The sequence below is a fragment of the Homo sapiens genome, chromosome 18 (genome assembly GCF_000001405.40).
Source record: "Homo sapiens chromosome 18, GRCh38.p14 Primary Assembly".
Taxonomy (NCBI): Eukaryota; Metazoa; Chordata; class Mammalia; order Primates; family Hominidae; genus Homo; species Homo sapiens.
The window spans coordinates 5,596,978-5,623,444 of record NC_000018.10 but is presented as its reverse complement, the minus strand read 5'-3'; the positions used below and the strand labels follow the sequence as shown (position 1 = coordinate 5,623,444).

General features: G+C 38.6%; 1 protein-coding gene across 16 annotated transcripts in view; it reads left to right on the top strand.

Annotated features, from left to right (window-relative positions):
* EPB41L3 (erythrocyte membrane protein band 4.1 like 3) overlaps window positions 1-26,467 on the top strand; it is a 238,278-nt gene that overhangs the window by 7,219 nt on the left and 204,592 nt on the right. The window contains exons 2-3 of one of the 16 annotated variants that reach the window (NM_001281535.2): window positions 9,022-9,094; window positions 11,017-11,105. The exons of the other annotated variants lie outside the window; for them this stretch is intronic. The gene's annotated coding sequence lies outside the window, so the exon portion shown is untranslated. The remainder of the gene's footprint in view (window positions 1-9,021; window positions 9,095-11,016; window positions 11,106-26,467) is intronic. 16 annotated transcript variants of the gene reach the window in all.

Below are 26,467 nucleotides of genomic sequence, written 5' to 3'. Positions count from 1 at the left end.
AGCAAAAAGAAAAATAAACAGGCATGATCAAGTACCGAGGTTTTGAATAGTTAGGAATTAGATACTTTCACGTAGTGTTAGAATTAGGTACTGAAACCTCCTGAGTTATGAGAAATTGAATGGCTCTGAATGATTAAGAGCTGCTGTATCTATGTTGTATGGATTTTGACACATGGTATTTATAAAATTTACACAAATATGTTACAAAATGGAAAAGATGTTGGCTATCCACTATGTGCAAACATTTGGTCACACGTGTGTGATTCATATCAAAATGCTGTTCCATACCCAGCTCATCTGCAGCTTACTAAGCCTCTCTTGGCCTCAGCTTTCTCACTGGCAAATAGAAATAACAGAATTCCCTGCATCACATACAGGATGAAAAAAATTTAATGACGTCAGCTACGTGACTGTAGTTTATGAGTGAAAAAGTGAGACCGAATATTTTAGTTACTGGTCTGATAGCTAAAAAAAAAAAAAAAAAAAAAAAAAATCAGCATTATGCCATACAAATCTCTCTGTCTCTGTAACTCCTTCAGTATAAAAACAAACATGGAATGTTCACAGGAACAAATTCAAATACAAACAAATGTTTAATCAGAGACTCATATTCACCTTTAAGTAAAAAACATACTTCTTTCCCCCTAATAGTCACAGCATTCTGCAGAGCTAAAGAAGGAGACCAGGAGTCTGTGGGAGCAAAGATCATTTTGTGAAGCTAGAGGTCCAATTTAAAAGCAGTTGCTGCTACAAATTAAAACATATTTGCATTCTGCCTAAAATAGTTGTCTCTTTGAACGTTGGGTGCCTTTTTTAGGTTGCTTTGTGAATAATATGCACAAAATGAAAATGTTAAAAAAAACATGTAGCCTGCAAACCCTAAAGAGCAGAATAAACATGGTGATACAATATAAAATGAGCAAGATTGCCTTACTATTTAGCTCACTGCATACTGGGATGCGTAGCAACTGCTAGACTCACCCTGCTGCAGTTTCAGTACCAGTAGGTACTAGCTGGCTATCTGGCGACAAGTCACCTAAGTTTGTTGAGTCTTCATTTCTTCTGCAAAACAAGCTTAGTAATACACATCTAGCAGAGTGGTTGTAAGAACAAGAAATAATATTTAGAAAATGGCTAGCGTATTGTAAGTGCCCAAACAAGTGTACCAGTATCTTTTTGTCATATAATGCATACCTTGTTAACATTTAATTCAGTCTGAAAGTCCATATTTAATGGATCACGTTTTACTCTCAACATTTATGTTTCAAGCCCTTCTTGGCCCTGACTGTGTTTATTTACTTTTTGATGATTTAAAAAATAAATTTTAGTCCTGAGTATATTTAAATGTAATTTTCTTTTGCCCTTTTTCATGTTTAAAAAAAAAAGTAACCAAAGCAAAATGCAGTTAGGAAGATAAACCTGATAATCCTACTGCAAAATGTTTCTGCATTTTGAAATCAAGTAGAAATTAATATTTTGTTGATCTACCTCCTCTGTATCTGTATCATTCAAGCAGAAAAAGTAATGACTATCATAGATATTTAGCCTTGCTTATTCTAAAGTAATCCATGAGAAATTAATTTATACTTTTTATTCTTGAAGTGATCTACATTGATCATTTAATTACCAAAATAATTAGGAAAAACTGTTACACTTTCATGTTTTCAAATGGACAGGGATGATCTGCTTTCTTTTTTCTTTTGTGAGACAGGGTCTTGCTCTGTCACCCAGGCTGGAGTGCAGTGGCACAATCACAGCTCACTGCAGCCTTGACCTCCCAGGCCCAAGTGATTCTCCTGCCTCAGCCTCCCGAATAGCTGAGACCACAGGCACATGCCACCATATCTCGCTATTTTTTTTCTTACTTTTGTAGAGATGAGGTCTTGCTGTATTTCCCAGGCTGGTCTGGAACTCCTGGGCTCAAGCAATTCTCCAGCCTTGGCCTCCCAAAGTGCTGGGTTTACAGGCATGAACCTGCTTTGATCTGGTTTTTAAAAGAGCACTTTAGTTCATAGTGGATACAAATGTAACCCATGTTTCCTGAATTATAGTAACTACACAGCTTAATAACTTTAATAAAACTGTACTTCTTTGACTCAGTCACCACTCACAAAATAGTCATTCTAACCATAGTCAGATTTCTCCCAACTGGGTTTAGGGATCACTGGAGATCTCTCCCCTGCTTGCAAAACTGAATCCTCTCTGAGCCACTTAGACTAAGCAATTTTTACTTGCTCCGATTTTGGCCACTACAGTGACGCCTAACATCAAATATCTGAAAGGATGCTACTAAACCCATTGTGGCCAGCACCCAGCAGAGAGTCACTAGGACTGCCGGGAAGTGAGTGATGTGTTCTCCTGCTTCCCTGAGGTCTGGAGGCAATAGAGGTTCTGGACCATTGACACCTGTGGCCTCATGAGGTCCAGCTGGCATATGTAAATGTTTAGACAAGGGTTACCAACTTGTAAGCTCAAGAAATTTTAAAATTGATCAAATAGGCAATGGGGAACCATTGAAGGATCTTATTGCAAAGGAGTAATATGGAGAGATTAGATAGGGAAAGGTTACTCTGACTATGGGTGGGGAAAGTTTGATGGCCTAAGAGTACAGAAAACCTTGGCGCCAAGGTTTGTACCTTGATTTCCTTTTCTCTTTACCTGGGTTCTTTCCCAAAAGACTCCTTACTTTTTCTCTAATAGTTAGATATTGGAATATCAAAAGCTAAAAATATATAGATCTTATTTTTAAAAAGGTCAGATGGCATATTTTTAAAAGATCGGATGATGTAGATACTTTCTTTCACAAAATGTATGAGTCCTGGGGAATATTGTCATGTTACAACATCATCTACATTATTATAAAGGATGAGTAATTTGTACTATTCTTAGCTATTATTTGCTTCCTTTGAAAACATATTTTAGATAGAAGAGAATTAGGTAATGCAACAGTGAGTAATATGGCTGAAGTGTATGTGTGACCCAGTTGCCAAATATTTTCACTAAGTGAAAAAGTATCATGACGTTTTGTTTTGTGTCTGGTACTTTAATAGATGAGTATACTCTTTCCTTTCAGGTTACTCCACGTGTATTTTTCTTTAAGTGTAGCATTGGTCTCTGTAGTATACAGTTAGAACATAACTAAGTGTGTTTCAGGAAAAGTAAGCAGCAATGTCATTTTCCAGATTGTGGGTTCATCGTCACTTAATTTCCCTGGATGATAGTTTATTCATCTTTGTGATAGAGTTACAGCTGCTTCAGCTTTCAAATCTACAATCCTGAAGCATTGTCATAGATTAAAAACCTTTTTTTTTTAAACTTGATAACATAGCATACACTTCATGATTGTTTTCTTAGCTCAGGGTTGTTGAAACACAATTTCGACATGAAAAAATGGAAATATCACTTTACACAGGTTTTGCTATGGAAAAATACTAAAGAATTCTTTAATAATAATATTGTTATTGTTAGCTCAGGTAATATAGTTTTTCATCTCTGGATAATTGATCACATTGATCTAATAACAATCTATTGCTTTTCTGAATTAACTCAGTACTTTCACTGTTTACCGTGTTACCTGGAATCTCATTTTATTATTTTCCTTTCCTTTTACGCATCATCATGGATTTGGATGAATTCAAAGAGGTTCTGGGTAATCTTTTCAAAGCATAACAAGAGGATTTATCTAGATGGCTCCCATTAAAATAAATAAAAAATAATACATGGCTGAAGTATAGTACATATCTTAAAAACACTTTCTCTTGACCTCCATTTGGCATAAGGAAAGGGGGTGTTTGTTAAATTTGATTAGCTGTTAGTCTAGAGAAAGATAAAAGTCCACTAGACCTGGCTGGAATATCGCAAGTGGCACATTCCTGCCTGACTCTGACCTGCTTATATAATGCTTCAAGGAACAGCTGAGCTGAATCATGAATGGCTGAATGGCTTTTTGTGGAAGGTGCAGTTAACTTTGTATCTGGAAATGAGTTGATATGGGAAAAAGTGTCTGACCCACAAAATTATTTCTCTGGCTAAAAGTATAATGTTAGTAAGACTAAGGAAAAGGATTAATAATAGAAAAAAAACATAAAAAAGAAAAGAGCCATTTTCATACATTAGACTTCACTGGGCTGCATATGGATGGAAGTGAGTGCTCTGTACCAGGGACTCAACAGAACAAGTTGCACTGTGTTCACAAAAAACTAATCAGAGTGAAATGTGCTCTTCTTCTTTTCTGCCTACTGCTTCTGAACTTCATCCTAACCCCCACCTTCCCTGCCCCCACCCCAACCTCTCTTAATAGTCAAGAGCCCCATTCTTGTGGAGTTGTCCTTGTATTATACATACATCACACAGTAGGGGTTCAGTAGATACAAATCATTACAGTGTGGTGTTGTAAAATAGAACACATAATAATTGTATTTTCAAAAAAGTTTTAGTGGCTGAGTTAACTAGGGTAATATTTTAAACATATCTTATTTAACAGCAAATACCCTGTTTGGTGTTAAAGGTGTAATCAAACTGTATATTGAAGTTGCAGAGAGAGGTTCAATAGGAACCTATTACAACTTTAACACCAAACAGGATGTTTGTGAGCACATGCATTCTACTAGGGCTGAAAATACCAAGTTCTGTTCTAAACACATTATTTTTTTGATGGTGGGATGGTTTTGCTGTTGTAGAGACAAGATGAATTTGTCCGTATGGGGTTGCTTGTTGGAGATTTATGGTGTAGTTTTTTTTTACCACTTTTCATTGACTTTCGTCTGTTCACAAAGATACACATTGAATTCAGAAATTTGTTTTTCACCAATGACCTACTAAAGTATCAGTTTGCACATGATATGAGAAGGAGCATCAAAGATGTGGGGAAGCCAAGGTCAATGACCTCCAAATGTTTAGAAGCCTTTTGTTTTTCCACTGAAATCCCGTGGGGAGAAACTTGGTCTCAGTTCTGTGTGCTCTTTAGACGTAGGTTGAGCAATGTCGCTAAGCTATTCTCCTTCTTTAGTCCATGGTCTTACATTAACTTTTTTACATTTCCCGCATAAGGAATGCATGTTTATCTCATATTTTGGGAGGTATTGGCACTCTCTTTCTGAATATTTTTCAAAGCAGAAGACAAGCAATGATCAAAGAGTAGTTTATGAATGTTGTAGATTTTGTTTCTAAGAGCATAGGAATGCTTCTTTTCTTCAGTCTCTGGCTTTTTTAGCCTTAGGGTGAAAAGACTAGAGTGATAAAAGGCAGAGACCTACTTTCTGAATATAGGCCTTCCCCATTTTACAGCTGAGTCATTTTTTGAAAAGTGTATTTGTAAGTAGTTGTTTGGAATTTTGAATTATTTGCCCGGAGAGAAGAGATTAAAAATTGTGTTTAGGTTTCCAGGCTAGTCCAGACAACTATATTAAACCTATGTTATGAACAGATTTTGGAACTGCAGTATTAATATTACTTATGGGACCTTGGAACAGGAAGCCAAATGGTACCTCCCTAGATGGATAGCCTACTGTGAAAAATTTTGGATGAGTATATAGTGCTTTGCAACTTCCTTCTTGAATCCCTCATCTGTCTTCTAGTGCCCATTTCTTTGGACATACTATCCTAAGTCAAACTGTTTTGCTCATAGTTAGGCTTTCTTACTTTCCAAAATATACTCCTTGCTCCAAATTTATTACATTCTCTTTCTCAAATAAAACTACATTTTTTTGTTCTTCTGATCAAGTAATAGATAGGAAATTAGTGTGATTGAATTAATTATATTTGCAGAAAGGATTGCTGACCCTATAATCCTTCCTTGTTATTTGCGTTTAAAAAATAGAATGACTTGGGCCGGGCGCGGTGGCTCACGCCTGTAATCCCAGCACTTTGGGAGGCCGAGGCGGGCGGATCGCGAGGTCAGGAGATCGAGACCATCCCGGCTAAAACGGTGAAACCCCGTCTCTACTAAAAATACAAAAAATTAGCCGGGTGTGGTGGCTGGCGCCTGTGGTCCCAGCTGCTTGGGAGGCTGAGGCAGGAGAATGGCGTGAACCTGGGAGGCGGAGCTTGCAGTGAGCGGAGATGGCACCACTGCACTCCAGCCTGGGCGACAGAGTGAGACTCCGTCTCAAAAAAAAAAAAAAAATAATAATAATAGAATGACTTGTAACTCAAATCAAATACAGGTTGTTGTATTTTCTTCAGTTTGATATTCATTTATCATCTTTTATAAGCAAGGTACTGTTACACTATGAGAATTTAAATGTGAATAAAATATGGTGCTATCATTTTATAGGGAGGCCAGTATATAAAAACAATATAAAGTGTGATAATGATGAATGGTGAAAGAGAATTTTATGAAAATACCAAATCTTATACATCACTGGAGGGAAGAAGGTAAATTGATACAATAATATTGAAAAACAGTTAGGCATTATCTTTTAAAGATATGCATACTGTCCAACACAGGAGTTTTGCATTTCATTATATATTATAGATAAACTCTTGCACGTATACACAAGAAATGTTTCAAAATTCTCCATAATAGCAAGAAATTGGAAACAACACAAATGTCTATGGACAAGAGAAGATAACTGAAGTATGGCATGTTCACTAAATGAGATACCATACAACCACAAAAATGAACCATAGCTATCAACCAACCACATGATGAATCTTTAATATTGTTGATTTTTTTACATTGCAGAAGATTACATGATATAATAGCATTTTTATAAGGCTAAGAAACTGAAAAACATAACAATATTGTTTAGAAAAATGTGTAGGAAGGCAGGAGGACTGCAGAGTAGAGGCAACCACATTGGTGACGTTCTCATTGTTAAGTGAGAGTTCACAGGTGTTCATTTTGTTATTATGCTTCATCTCTTACATATGTATATGTATTTTAAGCAGTTGTTTGGAATTTTGAAAAAATAAAAACCTAAGGAGTTTATTATGCAATATTATTTATATAATATGTATGCATATGGATATAATATATATAATATTGCATAATAAAAACACTTGTATTGCATCATAAAAACACTTTAGGTGCATTTTTTTAGTGATCGCTCCAGTTCTGGGGAATCATCAAAGAGGAAGCAGTTGATTTTGACTGGGAGACTGGGAAGGATTCACAAGGGAGGCTGAGTTCACCCTGGACTTGAAGGAAAAGTAGGGTTGTGGGGGTCAGGCAATGTTGAGTGCTGGAAAATGGAGAAAGAGTGCAGCAGGCATACACGTAGTGGGCTTGAGATGTAGAACAGTTGGAGTGATTCACGGGCGGGCTGTGCAGGAGCCGGGGTAACAGCTGAATTTGGGAGAGGTGAGGGAAGGGTGGTGCTGTCATTGTTCTATATTTTTGTGGAAGGCAACTATAATCCTCCTGCAAAACCCATGAGATTACCAAGGGAGATTGCTGAGAATGAAAGGAGTAGCACCTGGAGAAATCCAGGGAAACCAGAAGAGAACAGAAGACCTTCCTTCTGGAAGACCCCCAGAAGGAAGGGTTGAGGTTCTGGAGGAGAACCTGAGGGCACAGAACTAGGACTTCCCAGTTGGAGGGGATTTCAGGCCTGTGAAAGGTGGGATTTCATGATACAGATAGGGGTTGTCCTTCAAGAAAAAAGGAGTACTAAGAAGCCATGCTCTCTTTCTGTTTCTCTCTCTGTGTTAAAAATTTTCTTTTTGTATGCATATAGATCACAGTTACCTAAAAGGAAAACAGCTTTTGGGTGACTTATTGTGACAGAAGAAAAAGAAGAGACAGAGAAAAAGAACTACCATTTACTGAGGGCCTACTATGTGCCAATATTCTGCCCTGAGGGCTGGAAATATCTTCATTTCTGGCCTTTCCCACAACTTCTGGAGTATCTAATGTTAAGAGATAAAAACAATCACACTCTTTATTTTCGAATGTACGGTGATGTTATTTTTGTATAGTCACCTTCTAGTGTTCTCAAATAGTAGGTCTTACTCATTCTAAGTAGTTTTTTTGTACCCATTAGCCATCCCCACCTCCCCCATGTATCAAAACATCTCATATACCCAGTAAATGTGTACATCTTCTATGTACCCACAAAAATTAAAAATTAAAATAAAGAGATAAAACCAAGGTTCACAGAGGGTGAGTCACTCACCCAAGCCAAAGTCGATTCATAAAAGACAGACTACCTCTGTGAAATCACAGTTTCTCTCCTTGCTCCATGCTTCTCAAAAAAAAGGAGAAGAAAAAGGAAAATATAAGAAGCAGTTTAAAAAAAAAGTCTGAATTAGATACACTGAGAATTTCAATTTTGTGCTTTTTTTTTCTCTGATATCTTTAGCATTTTTAAAGCTCAGTTCTTTTCTCTTGATGTTTAACCATCTTAGTCTTGATGGGAGGTTCTAACACCTTATTGGTTGCTTCCTTTAGGGTACAGACTGTCCACTCAGTTAGCTATGTTCTAGCAGGTGTCTCTGGAGAATGTACTTAAATAAAATTTTTGCAGTAACTAGCCTTGTCCCCTGGCCATGTTCATACTCTCTTCATACACATAACCTGACCCTGACATAGCTACAGATTTGTCTTTTCTCACTGATTTTACTAATGTATAATTATTTTCTTTTTATTAAAATCATAATCATGCTTTTAGTTACTATTTATTCCTGGAAACTGCATATTAAAATAATTATTTTTATCTTGCTGACACTAAAGTTACAACTCACACATTTCGTAATCATAGCGCATTAATGTTAACTCCAGAGTTTCCTGCCTCTGGTTTCTCAGTGAAGCTGGAAGTGGGGTTTTTTCCTAAGAATCAGGGGAGTACAGAAGGGGTTTGAGAATGGATAAAGTTTGCAACAACTTCAGAGGGCAGAGGTACAAAAGAGCCAATGAGGGAGCACAAAGAGGATTTCTAAAGCAGCAGAGAAGGCCTTCATGAGGTTAGAAAAACCCATCTCTTGTAGAAGTGGCCATGAGCATGGCTCCATTTCCTCCTGCTTTGCGGAGAGACTCCAGAGCAGGAATGAGACACTAATTCTGATTCTACTTGAATGTAGGAGGTATTGGGAGACAAAAGAAGCTCATCTATAAACATTTTCCATGAATCAAGCAGAAACTTGGGTTTTAAAGGCAAGTACAATTCAGATATGCATCTGATCATGTAAGGGAAGTTATTCATTTTGAAAATAATTCTGAGATTCATTATAAGGTGATGAAGATTTATGGATCAAAGTGGTGGAAAAGTAAGGTGAACAATTAATAATTCTGTACAACTATTGCATACAGAGAAAGGGACTATAATTCTAGCCTCCTACACCTGTGGACTATTCCAACATTGCTCTTGGGTAAAGACCAGAATTCTTCCCTTGGCCACATGGTTTGCTCCCATCCATTTCTGCAGCCTCATCTTGTATCATTTGCCCTTCTGCTGTGTGTTCTAGATTATTAGTTCTCAACTGTTTTGGTCTCAGGACCTCTATACATCCTCAAAGATAACTGAAAACTGCAAAGAACTTTTTATACATGTTATCTATTGATATTTACTGCCTCAGAAATTACAACTGAGAACGTTTTTGATATTTATTTTTAATTCACTTAAAAATAACAATAATAAATCCATTTCATGTTAACATAAATATTTTTATGAAGGTTAACTGTGTTTCCCAAAACAAAAATAGCTTCGGGTAAAGGCTGTCATTGCAAATTTATTTAATGCCTAGCTTAGCAGAAGAGAATGGATTCTCATGTCTACTCCTGCATTAGAAACTGAGGGTGAGATATCACACATCATGTAGCTTGTAGAAATTTCTACTCTAAGCTTATGGGAGAATGAAAGTGAAAAGGCAAATAAGGTCTCAGTATAACCAGGAAAGTGGCTTTGACCTCACGGGTCCCTGAAAGGATCTTAGGGACTTCCCAGTCCCTGGCTCCTACTTCAAGAATCATCTACCCTAAACCCATGGGCCTTTGTTTGGTTGGAGGGGTCAATAGGGTGACTGATGGGGATAACGGGAAATAGGGCTAGGAATTTAGGTTGAGACTATAGCATACCTTGTCGCATTTGGACATTCCTCGTCTCCTGAGAAGGAACTGAGCATTACTGCCAAGAGGCAGGCAACAGTTGGAGATGTTCGAAAGTTCACTCTGAATTGACACGGCTTTGTGTTTCTCAAAGGTCTTTTATGGGCATCATTTTTGTTACTGTAACTCTATAAAAAAGCCAGGACATTTATTATTTCTTCCCTCAAGAAAACAAATGTCTAGTGGCTTGGTCAAGGTCACTCACTTCCTTAAGAGATGACTGAACTCCTACCTCATACTCCCTAAGTCCCTCCTCTCTGCAAGTGTGTCCTCTCACTCAAAGATCAACTCACCATAAAAGAGACCCATGGATGCCAGGGACTAGTGATGAAATGTACAGGCAGAAGTTGTTTGGAAACATGCTGGGCACAGTGGCTCATGCCTGTAATCCTAGCACTTTGGGAGGCTGAGGCGGATAATCACCTGAGGTCATGAGTTTGAGACCAGCCTGGCCAACATGGTGAAACCTCGTCTCTACTAAAAATACAAAAATTAGCTGGATGTGGTGGTGCACACCTGTAGTCCCAGCTACTCAGGAGACTGAGGCATGAGAATTGCTTGAACCCTGGAGGCGGAGATTACAGTGAGCCAAGATTGTGCCACTGCACTCTAGTCTGGGCAACAGAATGAGACTCCGTCTCAAAAAACAAAACAAAAATGTGTTTGAAAACAGATATTTATGCTTACCTCCATGACAGTAACTCATTTATGCACCAATATATTCCTTTTTTTCTGCATCTTTAGCAAGTAAAAATAGTTAATTACAAGAGAGGATTAACTGTGCTCTTCCTGGGTTCTCTTCGGCCAATACAAATACAGTCTGCATATCTGCAGTGAGATGAACATTCACCATTCATTATCAGGACTAAGGAGAGTAGGTTAAGAAACAAAATGCTATCTGAAGCTCAAGTTGTTAAACTTTTAAAATATTCAAAGGACATCAAGAACACCTGGCATGGACGCTTTTCCAGGATTCGCATAGAACGGGATGCCACAGGCAAGGACAGATCCCCTGAGGCTGTGGAATGAGTGGGGACATCCCCGCCCATCTCTGGTCTTGGTAGGCATTTCTGTCATGATTTCTTCCAGTGTCTTTTAGGCAACTACTCTCATCCTACTATCTGCTGAGAATAAGACAAAATTTCTTGAATTAATGCTAGGCAGCTTTTTATTCTATTACAAATTGCAGTCTTTTAACACTTTACACCAACTGTTGACTTCCATTCATGCTTTCCTTTCAAGATTGGGTCTACACAGGGTGGCCAAATAGTTCCAAAACCATTCTGATAGTAGTGGTTTTTTTTTTTTTTGCCCTAATTGTGGCAAAATACAAGTGTCATAAAATTTACCATCTTAACTATTTTAAGTGTACAGTTCGGTAGAATTACATGTGTATATATTTTTATGGATTGAGAACTTAACAATTTATTTATTTGTTTTAGATACAGGCTTTTTCTTTGTCACCCAGGCAGGAGTACAGTGGTGTGATCATGGCTCACTGCAGCCTCAAAATCCTGGGCTCAAGTGATCCTCACACATCAGCTTCCCGAGTATAAGAAGTACCCTGTCTCTACTAAAGTACAGGTGTACTACAGGTGCACACCACCATGCCTGGCTAATTTTTAAAAATTTTTTGTAGAGACAGTGTCTCACTATGTTGCTCAGGCTGGTCTCAAACTCCTGGGCTCATGTGATCCTCCCACCTCAGCCTCCTAAAATGTTGGGATTACAGGCGTGAGCCACTGCACCTGGCCAAATTTTATTTATTGTGCTACTCTCTAATGAAGCTTTTCTTGGTATGCATGTCATAAAAGTTCAAAATAAATAGTCTCGGCCTCATTAGTGTATGTTGTTTTACAACTAATCTCCAGAACTCACTTCATCTTGCGAAACTGAAACTCTACACATTAACCAACAGCTCTCCATTTTCCTTTCCCACAGCCTCTGGCAACCACCATTCCACTTTCTGTCTGTATGAATTTTACTACTCTGTATACCTCATGTAAGTGTCTGACTTGTTTCACTTAGCATAGTGTCTTCAAGCTTCATCCATTCTGTGGCATGTGTCAGTATGTCCTTCCTTTTGAAGGCTGAGTAATACTCCATTGTACGTACATACCACATTTTGTTTGTCCATTCATCCATCAATGGACACGTGTAGTTTCTGCCTTTTGACTATTACAAATAATTCTACTGTGTACATGTGCATGCAAATATTTCTTTGAGACCCTGCTTTCAGTTATTTTGAGTTGACAGTAGCATTTGATGGAACTGATTAGTAGTGTACATCTGTAAGAAAGAGGCCCAGGAGGCCTGAGTGGACCTGAGGATCACAGAATTCCTCCAGCATGACCTTGACAAAGCCTGGTTTTCCAAGGTGACTGCTCATGTGGAAAGCTTATGACAGATGAGCTATTTTACATGAAAGCTCAGTTTGGGAGTTCCATCTACTTGACAATATGTTCTATGTGATTTTATGCTGCAAAATTTCTTCCCTGATAGAGCAATTATCATGGTTTGTAAGATTAAAAAACAATGCATCCTAGAAATTTAATGACATGTTAATTATTTTTCCTGGGCCTCTATAAAAAGATAATAATAACTTATTTCTTTTTGGTATCTTCTTTGAAGAATGCAAATTCTATTCTGTGGTTCTGACTGGTAGCACAACTAAACTGGGTTATAATTTATATTCTTTGTGAGTGTGTAATTAGAATTGTTTTAGTCAAATGCTTGTTGGAATGTGTAAATCACTTTATACTAGATTTTCTGATTATTATTTTGAGTCAGCCTAAGTCTATACCTTGCAGAAGTCCCCCCATCCCCATTCTAGTCCAGACTTGTTTTATTTTTATGATCCTGTATGTTTATACAAATCTTTCCTGTTATCTTTCTGGAAACATCTATTGCATATTCAAATGTGGTTTGGGTGTATATCTCTTATTTGCATCTGTTAATGAAAATGTTCATGAGAGATCACTTTGGATGTCTCATGAATTATCTACCCTGTTTTTCTACAGAAACTTTCTCCTTAACTCCCACTGTATTGGCAGTGGGGTGGCTTCTAGAAAGGAGGGAAGTGTCATTCTCGTGCTCAGAATGGGATAAGGTAGCATCAGTTGTTGAACAATGTCTAAAGTATTTTTTTCTCTCTCTTTTTTGCTCACCCTTCTTGTCTCACTTGGAACATGGAATATGGACCTGCCAATCATCTGGAAATACGTTACCTTTGCTTGTTGGGACGTGGATAATGTGGGTGAGTCCTGAAATCTGTGTTTAAGCTGTTGACTTCTCTTTGTTTGGGGAAGAAGAAAACTGTCAGATGAATCGTTTGATGGGAAACTATCTTCAGCATCCCAGTGCCTGTGAGCACACTGCCCAGGCACCTCCAGTTAGACTCAGTCCTCCTGCATCAGAGAGGGAAAGCTCCTGAGGTGTCCTTTCAGCAGCACCCAAACTCAAATGAAACGAAGATGAATCATATTCAATGGCAAAAGTTGCTATTTAGACTTTAGCTGTTGTTTTTTTTTTGGGTTTATACCACATTTAATAATGCTTCTTTATGACAAAGCAACTTGAAGATATCCCACATGTCTTGACACTGTGTTTTCTAAGACTCTTGTTCAGTTGTTTCTATAAATCACACACCTCTTATCTTCATATTTACCATTTGTGGCAGATGCACATGTATGTATTTTTGTGATACTGAAATTGTTTCTAATATAAGTCCATTGGAAATTGTACGTTGTTGATGTGTTGATATAAAATGAGTCATGCATCTTGACATGACTTCCCTGCTCAATTAGTCCTTAGTAGGTGATGTCAAAACTCAAAATAGCAAAACTGTTAAATATTAAATTCTAACTTTGTTCTTCCAAAGCTGAGCAATAATGATGTACTGGACCCTCCGTGGTTTTGCATGCAGGGCCAGGCCTGGGAAGGAGGGTTGTGGTCTGCTGGTAGATTTCTTGCTATAGAATGCAGAATAGACAGCAGGAAGATTTTGAATACAAAAAAATGTTTTTCAATACATATTTTTCTAGTTCTCAAGGATGTGGTAAGAAAGAGTCTAGGTAAAGCGTTTGATTGGTATGATATTATAAAGAGGCTGGTCTAGGATTATCTTCTATACTTTTCTTAAAGGGTTTAGCATGGCTGATTTAAAAAAAGAAATAAGTTGAGGCATACCTCCATAGGAAAATTATTGTCTTGATTATCAGTTACAGTTTCATCCTGAGCCTCTCTCTCAATAAATTTGAAACTGCCATGTCACTGTCTTAGCTGGTGGAGGTAGCAGGATTTCACTTGCTTGGAGCAAACACATTTGTTGTTGCAATCTGTTATTTCTGAAATTTCTAAAAATGTATTGAATGTTAGCATGAAATTTGGCATTGGTGTTTGTAAGATTTTCTATTCTGGTGTAAGTAATTTGGGAATCTTTATCTTAGATGATTTAGTTTCCCATAAATATCCTTAGGAATATGTGTCATTTGAGTTTAATCTGTTGAGCCGTGAGCTGTTGATTCGACACAATTATCACCTAATCAGCTGTTTTGCTTATTGAGTTATGTTATGATTCTTTAGTTCCACATCTAAAAATCTCCCTTTGGGATTCACATGGTGTGTTTTCTTCTGTGTGCACTTTTGGGTCTTCTCATCTCCCCTCTCCTCTTAGGAAACAATAAGTACCTGGATATTTACCCTGAAAAATAATCTAATTTTCTCTTCCAGTAATAATTGGTAGCCAGAGCCTACCCCCTTTAAATTGATTATGAGCCAGGTCTTGTGAATTTTCCATCTGTCTGGGACCTTGAAAGCCTTCTGAAGATAACACTTTATTTGTGAGATGATCAGGAAATCCTCAGAAATCTCTCATCCTAAAAATAGCGAAGTGCAAGAACAACAGGGTTTTACTCAATTATTTTCTCCTCCCCAACTCTGTTGCAGTGTATGATGTGCGTGCTCATGTGCCTCTCCCTCTCTTTTTCCGGACTCTTTCTGTTGAGGGGTCTTCTCATTTGGGGATTGTTTGGTTTTCTTATTTGTTTTTTTGCATGTATACGTTGCTAGCTGTATGGCATAATGCCTACTGGTTTGGTCAGTAAGGGATTGCTTTCTTAACAACAACAACAACACATCTGGTGTGCCCGTCACACTGTCATGGCTTACTTTCTGGGGTGCACAGAGTCGCAGCATCATCACCACCTTCCTTCCACCACCATCCCGATTGCTTTGTCTCCACCAGGCACTCAATTATGGACTTTCCAGGAGTCTCATCTAATTTTCCTACAACCTGATGATACAGGAACCTTTTTCATTGTCTAATATTGTGGATGAACAGACTGCAGCACAGCTAAACCTGCCAGAGGCCACTGAGCAGTAGAAGAAGGGGTCTGTTTTTCATCCAGGAGTCTGATTCTGGAGTCATATCCATTGAAATATTTTCACCAGACACATTTCCTTTTAGCCAGTTTAACATACTTTTGGACTCTTCCTGGCCCTTCAAAGGTAGAATTTTGGTGCATCCCAGATAATGTTTTGCCATGCACATCTGAATTTGTCTTTTATCTGGCAGTTACGTAAAGTTCTTTCATGAGTCAAAACTGACAGTTCCGTGGTGGCAAGGTTGGGGAACAGGGGGGATTATATTAAAGAAATATATGATATTTCTGTCTCTAGATAAGTGAAGAACTTTGCACCTGATGGTATAAACATATTTTAATGGAATGGATGGTAACCTAGGAGTAAAAGTCAAACTGTGTAGAATCTAACTTTTTTCTAAATCCAGACAAACCCTTGTACCTGCAAATTTTATTTAGATTTTCAGCTCTTGTTATTGAGTGTTGGGGCTTCAAAATCTAATTGTGAGTCCTTCTCTAATAGGTAATTCCTGCTTTATTAGTCAGGGTAATATGGCCTTTCTCAAAAGCAGAGGGACATGAAAAGCAGAGAATTATCTTGGTCAGCTCGTCTTGCTTGCCTCTTTCAAGGAACTCGACTGTCAAGTGTAGACACTCATAGAGCCTCGCCGTGGAAGGGCTCAGCCAGAATGAGGCTGTTTTCCATCGCCTGACACTGGGCAGATCCTCATCATATCTTTCCTGAGTTTTGTGACAGCTTGCTAAAGACTTCTCCCAAAACATCTTTATCCCATCTTCTATCTGACTCCAGAGAGACAGGTCCAAGCTATAACTCTGACCATGCCTCGCTCTTGCTTTCGACATTCCAGTGGCTTCACATGGCTTCTAGTAGTTCCTCTCCACGGTAGTATTCAACAACCTGGTGACTGTTGATCATATGTGGGTGTCACGAGTAATGTGTTACTAATAATAAATCTGGTACTACAGTTTAAAAATTATTTTTCAGTAAAATAGACTGGATTCACGTTTACCATGATAGCAATGTTATTCACCCTTTTTTTCCTGTATTATTTCTTTGTAGGGGGTTGAGGGAGAGAGAGAGAGACGGAGAGAGAGAGAGAGACAGAGAGAGAGAGAGAGAGAGAGAGAGAGAGAGAATGACGCCATGGTGGGCAGGTGTTAGGGACTGTGTAAATTCATCAGCCTTGCTTATTTATCCCATTTCCTAATGGTTTCTGGTACACAGCTAATAACTGAGGTTCTCAAGAGCTTCTGTAGTACTTGTGAGTTATGATTTTTACCAGTTATTAATTTTGTCTAGTAATTTTACTAATGGACAATTTCTAGATAAGAAGGAGGGCAAGGATAGATGAAGAAAGCTCAAATATTTATATTGTATTAATGATGCTATGAACATTCTTACTTATGACAAATAGTTATGACCACCAAATAAATAGAAAAATGATACTAAAATTAAAATGTGCAAGAAGATAAGTCATACGAATAAAGGGTTAAAGTTTGTACATTTCCTTTATTTCAATAATAATAAGTAACATGTATACTCATCAATAGTACATTGTTGTTTGCCTTTTAATATTATCTATGTAAGGGAGGCCTAAACAAAAAGAATGATTCTTTTTTTCAAAATAGAATGAGATGTTCAAAAAATTTTATGTGTTGATAATTTTTCTTCTGAAACAGATGATTTCATGTTTAATAGATGTCATTACTCACATGCTCATGTAAAGATGTTATCGATATAACCCACCTGCCCTCCCAAAATGTCTGTGTTGCTGCTCTTTGCTTTATTTTCCCAAATTATTTTGGTGGAGGTGAGGATTTGGAAAAATCTGGAAGTATATGTTGCATGGAAAGGTCATTGGCCTTATGTCTCAATCTTAAAAAAATTGGCCAAGAACCAAGCTCCATAGGATGAAGTGCAAGTTTTTCCCTGATGCTATTACTGCCTACTGGATGCATCTGTCATTTTCACTTTTGCTGTCACTTTCATCCCCTGCTTGTCACCCCCACATGCCCATTGGTGTGTGTGCCATTAGCGTCCCTGGAAGCCTCAAGCATCTGTGATTTTTTTCATCCTCCTCCTTCTGCCTCCAACTCCTTACTTCGTCTTTACCTAGCTTGTCTTTTACACACAGCTCCTACAAGAAGTCAATTCTGATAACCTCCTGCCTCCGAACCCCTCCTGGTACTCTTACAGCATCTGGTGTGTGCCTTTCTCACACAACTTCGCATATTATGGGAGTGATGAATGTACTTGTATTACCTGCCTTCATTGTTTTCTAAAATCAGAAAGAGGTTGGACCTAGTGTCTCACACCTTGTAATCCTAGCACTTTGGAAGGCCGAGGTGGGAGACCACTTGAGTCCAGGAGTTTGAGACCAGCCTGGGCAACATAGAAAGACCTAACAATAAAAAATAAAAACAAAAATACTAAAAATTAAAGAGAACTACTAAAAATAAAATAAAATAAACATCAGCCAGGTGTGGTGGTGTGTACTTGTAGCCCCAGCTGCTTGGGAGGCTGGGGCAGTAGTATTGCTTGAGCCTGGGAGATTTAGGCTGCAGTGAGCCATGAGTGCACCACTGCACTCCAGCCTGGGCAGCAGACTCCATCTAAAAAAAATAAAGAAAAATAAAATCAGAAAGAACTGGGACCTGATCTCTTAGTGATGTCTGTGTACCTAACACTTGAAATTTGGTAGGCTGTCATAGATTGTGTTTCTTAAGATGTCGGCTGTGAGATGAACATGGGTGGCCAAGGTGTTGATTGAGCTCATTACTAAGGAAGAAAGCAGGGCTGGGCAGAGGGAGAAGTTGGGCTGGTTGTAGTCCCAGCAGAGGCCTCAACCTACCTTACCTGGGGAGTACTGGAGTGGGGATGACTTCCAAGTTGTTTCTAATTAGAGTAAGAGGGCTGGAGCATTTCTTCCCCCACAGAGACTAGTCATTTTGGATGTTGGCCCTCCCCAGGAGGAGGTGTGACCTGAGGTAAGCAGTTGTCTTCGGCAGAGGCAATCCCCACAGATGGTTGACAGCTAAGGGCCACCTGCTGGCAGCACTTTTAGCAGCTAGAGGATTATAAATCCTTTATTCCTGTAAGGGGATCTGGGAGGTATATCATAGTGTCCACCATATGGGCGTAACTTTTTTGTGAAATTAGCTGAAAAAAAGCAAAATGCCTGTGGCTTTGGGAAATTAGGGGATAAGGAGAGGAAATGAAACATGGGCTATTTCAATCTGCTTTATTAATAGAAATGGTTTTTAAGGCCGGGCACAGTAGCTCACACCTATAATCCCAGTACTTTGGGAGGCCAAGGTGGGCAGATCACTTGAGGCCAGAAGTTCGAGACCAGCCTGGCCAACATGGTGAAACCCCTTCTCTACTAAAAATACAAAAATTATCTGGGAATAGTGGTGCACATCTGTAATCCCAGCTACTCGGGTGGCTGAGACACAAGAATCACTTGAACTCGGAAGGCGGAGGTTGCAGTGAGCCAAGATTGTGCCACTGCACTCCAGCCCAGGTGACAGAGCAAGACTCTGTCAAAAAAAAGAGAAAGAAATGGTTTTTAATAAAATGGATTTCTCTCTGAATAAAAAGGTATGACTTTTAAAGACCCCTGAAATTTTAGTGAAGGCTTCCAACTCTAAAAGCAGCAAATGGCAAATATTTAAATTTCTGCTACTTATTCTGTAAACATTTACTGAGTGCCCAAAAAGGGGACAGCACCACTGTTGCTGCTATGGGATCATTAAAAAAAAAAGAGTAAGTCAAATACCAAGGAGATTTCAAGCCATTGGTGGGTAAGGACATTTAAACTATTGATCATAATACAAAGCAGAATGAAAGAATGATTCTAATACTATTACAAGCAGAGTATACTAGAAAAGATGCATTACATCAAACTTGGCTGAGTGGAAGTTACATGTGTATTTATGTGTATGTGTGGGCATGTGTATGCATGTATGTATATGTGTATGTCTGTGTGTGTGTGCACGTGTGTGTGTGTGTGGACACTTCTGGAAGGAGATATCAAATGAGCTAAGCTTTGAACTTCCAGAGATTTGAGTTTGACCCTTCCAGGAAATGTTAACTTTTACTTTTCTTACCCAAATAATATCTCATTCAACTTTTTTTTTAAATTTTAATTTTGAGACAAGGCCTCACTTTGTTACCCAGGCTGGAGTGCAGTGGCGTGATTGATCATAGTTCACTGCAGCCTCAGCCTCCCACCTCAGTCTCCCAAGTAGCTAGGACTATAAGCACGTACCACCATGCCAGGCTATTTTTTCCTTTTTATAGATATAGGGTCTTACTATGTTGCCCAGGCTGGTCTCAAACTCCTAGGGTCTAGTGATCCTCCTGCCTTGGCCTCCCAAAGTGCTGAGATTAGGCGTGAGCCACCATGCCCAGCCTTCTTCAAATTTTATAGCTCCTGCAGTTGCTGACTTATATCCATTGAAAGGAGAGGCACTCCTGGCAAAACCCGTAATTGCCCAAAATCAGAATTATCACTCTTCCTCTTTATTCCACTCCCAGACTCTAAAAGTACAATGACCGTCAAGACTTGCAGGTTGGTTCCTGTAGCTGAGCAAGGTTCCAAAACACGGGAACATGCTTCCGTTCCAGGGCTGAGCCTGCAGCCTTGTCCAAGTCTTGCCTTCTGACATTGTCCTCTAAGAACCTCCCATGATTTGGGTTGGAGGCGGGCCTTAGCTCATTTCCACCCAGTCCAAAAGAAAGTGACTTTGTTCATTTTCCTCTCACTTAGAGAGGCTTCCCTTCCTTTTAATGACTCCTATGTATATGCACGTCCTTTGTTTTTTCTACCTTATCTTTAATTATTGCTCAGATGATAACAGTCCTGATGAATAAGACATTAAGTCTCCCTTTCAAAGTATTAATGAAAAGGAAAAAAAATTGAAGCATACTGAATTACAACAGCAAGGTTCTAAATTATGCTTATGAGGCAGTGTTGATGATAGGGAAGTAGTTAAACATTACTTTGCTTAGAAAGAAATTGTTCTCAGGACCAATACTGAGTGTCAGCAAAATGAAAAACAATTGATTCATGAAGTTCTTTCTTCCCTGGCATATAGAGAATGAGATTATTAGCTAGAGAAATTTATTCTAAAATCTATTTTAGTCTGTAGCTTTCCTTATCAACCATTTTCCTGTCAGTCCTAAAGTCCTATATTTAAAAATCTTTAAACATCGGTTACCTATCCTCTTCTTCTGGACTTGTCACCCTAGGTATCAAGGGAGGAGGTGAGGTGAGGTGCAGTGGTTCATGCCTGTAATCCCAGCACTTTGAGAGGCTGAGGCAGGAGGATTGCTTGAGGCCATGAGGTCAAGACCTGCCTAGGCAACAAAGTGAAACCTCGTCTTTACAGGGGAAAGAAAAAGTTAGACGGGCATGGTGGCACATGCCTGTAGTCCCAGCTACTCAGGAGGCTGAGATGGGAAGATCGCTTGAGCCCAGGAGTTTGAGGCTACGGTGAGCTATGATGCATACCAGCCTGGGCAACAGAATGAGACCTGTCTCAGTCAATCAATCAATGAGTGAGAGAGAGCAGAAGACAGAAGGACTGTAAATCTGTGGAGTCCCTATTGATCCTTCCAAGTGGATTAGCATCACCTTCCTGGTATTGTGCCACAAGTAGGCACAAGGTGCTCAGCTTCATCTTTTAGGGAAACAATTTGTATATAAGCTTTGCTATGATTAATACTGGCAGGAGGGATGGAAAACGTGCAGCATTTAGGGGAAAATGAGTTAGTGTGTATACTACAGGACATGCTGCTAGTTCCCCCACACCCCATGTGAAAAACTAATTGAAACACTTGATGTTATTGTAGCAGAAGGTCAAACTTCTTTACCATCAAAATGAGAACTTGGTATGAAAATATACAGAGTTTAAGGACCAATTTTACATGAAAGCTGCGGACAGGCATTGAAAAATCCTACTTAACATAATTTGTTTAATTTGTCCGATCTTTATTTTAGGCAATAAATGGCTGGAGAACCTGAAGCCACAGGTCCTCTATACTAGCTTCATTTCTTTTCAAAAAATCACCTCCGTCATCAAAGAAAATCAACCACTCCGAAGTGCTATTCTTCTTTATCCCTGTTAGTTTTGCTTTTATAAATCATTTATGATAATGGAGTTACAGTTTAATTTAGTAATTAGTTTGCAAAGGAAAAACATTCAGCTTGCATATGGAAAGGATGAGGAAAACATCAAAGAAAATTTGTTTTTCATAATCATTTTAGTGTAACAGATGTAAATACCTACTTAAGAATGGAACTGGATTTCTGGGATAGTTCTAACTGCCTTCATGCTTATCTCACCCCTGATACAACCAGTTTCTTGGACTTTCTGGGGGAAATTTATGTGAGGTCAATGATTCGTACTTGTTCAAAGGTTACTCTGCTGCGTAATTCAGCTGTCAGCAGAAGTTTGTCTTGCCTGGCCCAAGATTTTGTGGAAATCTGAAGGAAAAAAACAACAACACACACTACAAGGTTTTATTACACAGTGAACTGACAGATCCCTGCAGGCTATGTCAGCAGAAGCATGGGGCAAGAGTTCTTGCTGCTGGTCTGAACTTTGCACTTCCAGCAGGTTGGGTTGCAAAGCCAGCCCTGGGATAGCACAGGGGGAGGCAACTTAGCAGCATTGGAGGGAGGTAGGGGTGGTTTTATCCTACAGCAATGACTGATCACCTAAGTTTGATGGTGTTATCTCTGAAGCCTTATCTCCTTCTCTAGTTACAGTCCATTAAGAGTCTCAAGACTTAGAGCCTATTTTTAACTGCAGGTCCTGCTTAACCATAATTGAACATGTGATTTGTTCAGTTCAGAAGCCCTTCCCCCTCCCAACGTCTTCAAATGCCTGCATATTCCTATATATCTGAATCATGGAAAGCAAAGAGCAAAATATCCATGTATTTTGGATATTTTGCCATTTGTTAGTGCTCTGGTGTTTTTTAAGAGCTGTTGTTGTTGTTTGACAACAATGTATCTCTAACTGGAATGCCATGAATTAGCTGAGTACTATGTGCCCTTTACAGCATGAGAGCATTAACACGGTTAAAACATTTTTAGAAGTATCCAGAGAAGATTTTATCTTCCATGCCTTTTACACCTCCGCCCCAACTGAAATTTAATGTTTGCATTGGAATTCAGGGCCTTCTAGCTCTTGACTCTGCAGCGGCAGCTTGGTAACTACTTCTTCTCTGTAGTAAATGTTAATGGTACTCTGTATTCATTTTAATGGTTTTAATGATTAGAAAGAACATTGGTTTTGTTGGTACTGTAGATTTTAAGGATATATTTTTAAAACGAAAGGATGAGTGCCTTTTTTGGTTTTGATTGTAATTGTAATGTTTTTTTCTTCCCTTTGCTTTTTTAAATCTCTCCCAATCTTGGACAAGGGGCTCCACCTAGTGTAAGTTTTAGGTTAAAAAATAATATGGATGTAAGTAGTATAGAAGGGGCAAAAATTAGTTGAATATACTCTTTTTTTATGATGAGACTGTAAAGCAAAAGACTGATATTTTATAAAGTGCTTTTATGGTTCAGATCATTCATGTGATTTATACAGACATTCCTTCTGATTCTCTCATTTCTCCACAGATTCTTATTTTTATCTACTTTTTAAAAAGGCAAAATTACATCTCTTATGTGTCCAAATATAATTTTAGGTTGTAAACATTACCTTTGCCTGTGGTGAATGAATTTAGATCCAATTTTCTAGCAGTATGACAAGAGAAGAATCTTAAATGAGACAGTTTGCCATGCCTCAACCCTTGGTAAACTTAAGAAAGTTACTGCCTGAAATTTTTTTCTTTCTTTTTGTAAACAGGTGCTTAAATTTTAGATCAATGATTTTATTTAATAATTTTAAGAACATCATCTAACTACATTTTGAAAGTTTTTATATTGAATCCAGCCTTAAGATTCAGAATTGTTTACTTAGCAGCCACTAAGTGGAGTGTACTACAGTTGATGGTACAACTTTTTACAGCTTTGAAAATATCACTGTATCACGGTATTCAATTTTTAAATATGTTTTTCTTATAGAGGAGAGTTTCTGGTGCTTATATCTGTTGCCCGTGAGTTCCAAGAAGAGAATATAAATACGTCTCTAAAGGACTGTATGAATCCATGCAGTGCTATAAAGAAATACCTGAGACTAGGTAATTTGTAAAGAAAGGGATTTAATTGGCTCATCATTCTGCAGGCTGTACAGGAAGCATAGTGGCTTCTGCTAGGCTTCTGGGAGCCTCAGAAAACTTACAACCATGGCGGAAGGCAAAGCGGGAGCAGGCACAGTCATATGGCAAAAGCAGGAGCAAGAGATAGAGCAAGGGGGAAGGTGCAACATACTTTCAAACAACCAGCACTTGTGAGAGCTCATTCACTATCACGAGAACAGCACTAAGGGGATGATGTTAACCCTTTCATGAGAAACAAATGCATGATCCAGTCACCTCCTACCAGGCCCCACCTCCAACACTGGGGATTACCATTCGACATGAGATTTGGGTGGGGACACAGATCTAAACCATATCAGGGACTAAATACTGGTCTGAGGTGCCTAAACAGGAAAATGCCCTACCTTGATGATGACATCAACAGCCAAGGGATACAGAGAATTGAGACGTTTCCTTAAGAAATGTGTCCCCTCAAATATTTGGCTTTTCTGATGTGAAGAGTTTGCTCTCACTTTGGCCCATCGCCATTACAATGGGAGTAATATTTCCTGTGTGCCTACCTCAGGACAGGTGTTGGGCATACATGATGTATTTAATTCTCCTAACATTATGTGAATTAGGGACTCCTGAATCTATTTCATAGATTAGGAAACTGACACATGGAAAAATCAAATGATTTATCTAGGTTGTGTCAGAATTTGAACTCAGATCTCTGTTCCATAATACATGTTTGTTTGTTCTCCATAGTACATGTTTGTTCTTCTGCATCGTATTCTGCATGTCAAACTTCCAAAATCCTCATGGCATGAACTCTTCTTTCCTTCTCCAGTTAATCACTGTTCTTATTCAAGATTTAAAATGTGCTAGATTCCAAGGGAGTTGATGCTGTCCGTGTCCTCAAGAAACTTTCAGTTTAACCGAAGAGACTGAGCACAAGTGTATTTTTAATGATCCTATATTCCCTGGTGCATTTAGTTAAGGCCACATACATGGTATACTCCTAGAGAGAATAGCTGCAACAAGGCAGTGATAGTGTTAATTGACAAGGCAGAATTCTAAAGGCAAGGACATCTGCTTTTCTGCCTCTTCTTCTCCAGCAATGAGAGCCTTCCTTCTGGAATGCAGGTGATACAATGAAACCATGGAGTATTATCTAATGTTGAATTCTAATACTGTATTATCTAATATGGAGGTTCTCAGACTTTTGAGGGTTGACACCGTTTTTCACTACTGAGAATCCACAAAGAACTTTTGCTTAGGTAGATTATACCTATTGATATTTACCATTTTGAACATGAAAACTAATAATATTTTAAAATATTTATTAATTCATTTAAAAATAACATTAGTAAACCATTACATGTTAACATAAACGAATGACATACTTTTATGAAAAGTAATTACATTTTCCAAAATAGAACAATTTAATGAGTAGAATGGCATTGTTTTACATTTTTATAAGTCTCTTTAATGTCTGACTTAATAGAAGACAAGTGTATTCTCATCTGCTTCTGCATTCAATCTGTTACGATACACTGTTTTGTAGTATAGTAAGAAAATGCACAGAAAATCCAACTTCACTCAGAAATGTTGCTGGAAAAGGGAAGAGTATCTCAATTAGTCTTTTCGGGCAATTCTTTGACCTTGCTGTTTCAGATAAGGGTTTCAAGGAACCCCCAGGGGTTCCTGGGCCTCAGTTGGAGAACTGCTGGTATAAGTAAGATGAGGCCTACTTTCAAGTCTCAGCTCTTTTATTTCCCAGATCTGAAGCCCTGAGAAGTTACTTCATCTTTGACAGAACTGCTACAGGAATTAGAAACATTGTGCATGCAGGATCTGGGACAGAGAGAGCACTCAAACACGTGGTGGAGATGCCCATGGTGATGAGCTGCTGCTGCTACTGCTGTGGTTTCCATGGCTGGTGCTACTCTCCTGGTCTTGAGTGGTGTGAAGAGCAGCTTCCAGAGTTGGAAAATGAAGTCACACCCCACTTGGGGGTGTCTAGGAGTAAGACTGTGTGGAAGACAGTGATACCATAAATTGACAAGACAGTATCCATCTTTCCTAGGTTATTTGACTTCTGCTGTTCCCTTCCAGAATGAGGCTGATTTGCAGGATTTGCAAAATCTTCCTAAATTCTGAATTCACTACACTTAGAGAACCATTTATAGTGGTTATTATAACAAAATAGAACAAAGGTGGGTTTTATATTGTATATTCATCTCTTACAAAATTCATTGTTTAATGTATAATGAATAATTGCAAATTTTCCTAAAATAAACAGTAGAATACAGTTACCATGGGATTGGGAGAAAATAAAAACCCAGAAATTCTGAGAAGGTTTTACAAATACATTGTAAAACCTCAGAATTTTCGGATGAATACATTGTAATGTAATGCACTAATGGGATGTAGTCAGATCTCAGCAGGACACTGGAGGCTGCTCCTAAGGGAGTGTCCTGAAGCCAAGTCATATCATAGAGAGATGAATTTGGATATTCTGGGTTAGAAAAATCTGAGGTTATGAGACAGATCCAGAATAAGGGTCACTGATCTGAGAAGCAGAATGACTAAGGAGCAAAAACCAAAAGGCACTTGAGGAGGGTCTGGTGGCATGAGGGGGAGATTAGGAACAAATGGTAGATTGAAGCTAGACCCAGATTGAGGTGAGGCAAGGGTGTGAAACAATTTGGTCCAAGCCAGTCTTATAGACTATTCCTTTTCTTCCTTTTCCTTCTTTTCAGAGATGGGGGTGTCGCAAAGTTGCCCAGGCTGGCTTTGAACTCCTAGACTCAAAGCAATCCTCCTGCCTCAGCCTCCTGA